Consider the following 4,658-nt stretch of genomic DNA (forward strand, 5'->3'; position numbering starts at 1 on the left):
ATCCCCTTGTTCCATGCTCAGTGCCACAGGGGAGGACATTTCAGATGCCCTAGTCCCGTCCACATCAGGAGTGATCACCTAGTGTCAACTCCCACCTTTGCTCCTCACCTCCCATCAGTCTGGCATTTACCTGGCTTCTAACTTACAGGTTTTGTCTTCTATTTGCGGCCTCTGACAATTGATATAACTTCTCTAGCATTCTCCTTTGGATCCAGTCACACTCCCTGTCTGTCAATTACTGATCTCTTTGGGTAATCACTTTACTCCCCACCCATAATCTGCCTTCCCCTCTGATGGGAGTTGAGAAGTCTCAGTTGCACTAATAACTCTTTTCAGGATTTCTATTGTTTTTTTTTTTTGAGACAGAGTTTTGCTTTGTTGCCCAGGCAGTGGCACGATCTTGGCTCACTGCAACCCCTGCCTCCTGGGTTTAAGTGATTCTTGTGCCTCAGCCTCGCTTCCTGAGTAGCTGGGACTACAAGCGTACGCCACCATACCCGGTTAATTTCTGTATTTTTAGTAGAGACGGGGTTTCACCATTTTGGCCAGGCTGGTCTTGAACTCCTGACCTCAGGTGATCCACCTGCCTAGGCCTCCCAGAGTGTTGGGATTACAGGCGTGGGCCACTGTGCCTGGCCAGGATTTCTATTTCAATCATTATTTTCATAAAACCTAGCCCTTAGGGACCATTCCTCCTGAGTGCTGCATTGCAAGGCATGTTGGGAACTTAGCTTCTTAGGAGGAAATGAAGAGGAAGAAGCTTGGAAATCGGGCAGGGTATGGACTGGGAATCTGGGAACCTGACTTGGCTGTGGGGCTGACCCCAAAGGAACTGGTCAGAAGTTGAATGCACAATACCAATAGGACTTGGTACACTTGGGTTGATATGGGACAGGGAGGAACAGTTGTGAAGTAGAATGTTATAGCCCCAGCCCCATTAATGACTGTTCGTCATAGACATTCTCTTTTAGTGGGAGGAACTGGATGTCACCCAGGAACCCAAAGGCCTTCTTTGAGTCCAGATGCAGTAGTCTCACCATCCAGGCAGCCACTTCCCATCTGAGTTGGCAGTCAGATGGAAATCTGTTGCTATATTTGGCCTAAAGAAATGCCTTTCAATCAGGACTGTGTGTGTATTGGAAGCAGTGGCCAGGTTCATAAGAATATCTGAGAGGGAAGAAACAGTTGAAAGGCACATTAAATATTACAATATAATTTTATAGTTGGTAACGCAAAATATCTATTACTTTCTTAAAAGAAACTATGGGTAGTTAAATTCGACCAAAACGTCTTGGATAGGGATACGGAAGGGGCAGAGATTCTCAAGGAAGTGGGAGGAGCTCCCTCCAGGAACTGTATCAGAATATTAGGGGAAATATCAAATGTGTGATTTTCATGATTACTGAGAAAGAGGTGGATTTATCCAAAGAGAGCGAATGGACCCGTTACAGTCAATATTTCTTGCTTCCTTTAGAACACAAGCCCCTGAACTTTCACCTGGAACATGGCGGCTCAGAATAAAGGTTACTTTTCCCAGCTTCCCTTGCAACTGGGTCTGACCATGTGACTAGGTTCTGGCCAATGGGATGCGAGCACAAGTGTTGCATGACAGGTTATAGGAACTTGCTGTAACAGAAGCTGGCATTAGACCTTGACTCCTTTTCTTTACCTCCTTCTCCATCTTTCTGCTTGGCATGCAGGTGCTGCTCTCTATGACCTTGAGGATGAGGGTCGTGCCCTAGAGATGGCTGAGGGTTGAACTATTAGGTTGGTGCAAAAGTAACTGAAGTTTTTTTGCTGTTACTTTTAATGGCAAAAACAGCAATTACTTTTGCACCAATTTAATAAAAGGATCCAAGATCCTTGGGGACTTTGTGAAGCAGGGCTCATAAAAATCTGCCCAGCGCTTTCTCCCACTGGACAAATTTTACATGAGAAATCAACTTCCATTGTGTTAAAGGCACTATGATTTTGGATTTTGCTATGGCTGAAGATTGCCACCACCAAGTCTTTCCTTCTCTATATACAGATGGTGCTCCTTACAGCAAGAGCTAGAGTGTAATTATCCTCCTCTTGAATCTGGGCTGGCTTTAAGTGGTTTGTTGGACCAATAGAATGTGGCAAAAGCAATGTTTTGGAATTTCTGTGGCTAGGTCAAATGGTGTGGCTTCGGCCTGGGCCTCTTGGAATGTTTATTTTGGAACATTGCCTCTCAGAACCTAGCTGCGAGGCTGGGATAAGCCCAAGCTAATGGAGAGGTCACATATAGGTACCCTGGTCCACAGTCCAGGCTGAGCTCCCAATCAATAGCCACATGAACAGATCACCTTAGATACGATGTTCAGGACAGCTTATGGATGACGGCACTCCCAGCTGATGTTCGACTGCAATTACATAGACACTCTGAGAGAGACACAACCAGCTCTGCTCCCAGTCAATCCTCAGAACCATGACATAAACTAAAGAGTTGCTGTTAGAAGCCCCTAAGTTTTGGGATGGTTTGTTACACAGCAATAGATAACCACATCAACCAATGTGATCACAGAAGATATAATTTAGATTAAAAGCAGTCTGTTAATTAGATGAAAAAGAACAAGAGGGAATTGAAGAAGTGAGGGTGATGTCTTGGATACCGGTTTGCTCACAGCAGCTGATAAAGTCCTGCTTGATAAAGAGCGACCTCATGTGTGGCATCAGCAGATGTGAATGAATGCTTGTGAAGCTGGCACACAGATGGCCTCAACTCCCTGACTCTTATTGTCTCTTTAAGTTATCTCCAAGCTCCTGTATCATGCTCTGGCCCAAGCGGAATGCCAGCATTCCCTGGATGGGCTTAGTTCTTTTTTTATTTTTATCTTTTTTAGACAGAGTCTTGCTCTGTTAGCCACGCTGGAGTGCAGTGGTGCGATCTTGGTTCACTGCAACCTCTGCCTCCTGGGTTCATGCAATTCTCCTGCCTCAGCCTCCTGAGCAGCTGGGATTATAGGCATGCGCCACCACACCTGGCCAATTTTTGTATTTTTACTAGAGACGGGGTTTCATCGTGTTTTTCAGGCTGGTCTCGAACTCCTGACCTTGTGATCCACCAGCCTTGGCCTCCAAAAGTGCTGGGATTACAGGCATGAGCCACCGCGCCTGGCTTAGATAGGCTTAGTTCTAAGTGCTTTCCCCATCTGTCTTTGCACTGCAGTCTTTCCTCTGGGCTTCAAAATTAGTCTGCTTTGATTAAACACCTTTTTCCAGTCTCTCTTGTTTTGCAGAACCCTCTGCAAATGGGTGGGATAAATAGGGTGCCTATCCTGTCCAGGTTTTGTAGGATAGCACCCCATGTGTCGCAGCCAAAAGTTAACGACTGGCCCAATGTTTGCTGACCTGCTTGTCTGAAAAGTCTTTGCTAACCCCAGATATGTATTTCTGTGTGTGTGTGGGGGCAATGCACCCCTTTATACAGAGAATTCTGCAGAAAGCCATTGCTGAGTAGAAGGTCTTAATCAAATAGACATGGGATACTCACTAATCCAGCCCACCTTCTGCAGAGTACAGCAATCAGAATTGGAAAGAAATTCCGATATCAACAGGAGTAATTCCGGTAAGGAGTCATCAGCCTTCCCTGGCATTCTCTACCCAAAGCAGCCTTACTTATTTTTCTGCCTCTCCCTACCTCCACCGCGCCTCCAATAACCAGGGACTCTACTGCACGTTTGGGCGTAATGTCTCCTATTCATTCCCTAAGCGTTGAAAGGGATAATTGAGAGGTAATTGCATTACTGCACAGTTTGTAGTTAACCTTCTATTTTGGCTCTTAACATGCATATCTTTGCTCCAGGAGTACATTAAGGGTAATTATAGGCAATTCCCTGCCAGATCCAGAAAAAGCGGTTTGCAATGAGTGCAGGAGCCCACCAGGAAGGAAGGATTAATGTAGCTGAGCTTGAAGCATATCCAAGAAGGTGAATGAATTAAGGTCAACTTGACATGAACTTTGGCCAAGCAGAGCTGGAAAAATTAGAGTCAGATTAAAGTCCTTTCTTGAGAATTACTGCCTCATAACAAAGCCCAGAGAAACTGTCATGCAGTCATTTATTCAACCAAAAATCTGAGTGCCTTCTCTCTGCCGAGCTTTGAGTTGAAGACAGGCAGTGTTTGAAAAGGTTCTCTGGTGCTTGGCATAGAGTGACATTTGTCATAATCTGTCCATAAAAGAGAGCCTACAAGATCGATCTTTGGGTTCCAGCATGATGTGCTTTAACCCTCAGCAGCATTTAAAGAAATAAAACGTTGTCATTTCCACTGTGGGCATTTAGGGAAAGTCAATTATTTTCTGTAATTGGGCATGAGCTCCTAGAAAAATGAAATTTATGTGCAATACTACTTCCTTCCATCTCAAATGCACAATAATCCAAAGAAAACCTTGAGGATAGAGCCTGAATCCAAATAACAGCACTGCAGTGGGCTTCTCTTCACCAATCCCAGTTCTAACTCAATTGCTCCATGCCTCAGTTTCCTCACTTGTATAATGAGTGAGCTGTAACAGGTTCACTTTTGTCAGCCAAAAGTGCAACAGGCACTGTTGTCACTCATGCTTTCTGGTCTGATAAGTCCAAATTTATCTTCTTCCTGCTTAATATTAGGTCCAAATATCTTTAAAGGATGCTATC

The 4,658-nt window shown here is 44.7% G+C and overlaps 1 annotated feature.

The window, feature by feature from the left end:
- Positions 1,486 to 1,686: a silencer, noted in NCBI's record as "peak6551 fragment used in MPRA reporter construct". NCBI's record gives its function as "represses an SCP1 promoter by STARR-seq MPRAs in K562 erythroleukemia cells {active_cell/tissue: K562}" and the evidence as "EXISTENCE:reporter gene assay evidence [ECO:0000049][PMID:32103011]".

Source organism: Homo sapiens, chromosome 7, assembly GCF_000001405.40.
Source record: "Homo sapiens chromosome 7, GRCh38.p14 Primary Assembly".
Classification (NCBI taxonomy): domain Eukaryota; kingdom Metazoa; phylum Chordata; class Mammalia; order Primates; family Hominidae; genus Homo; species Homo sapiens.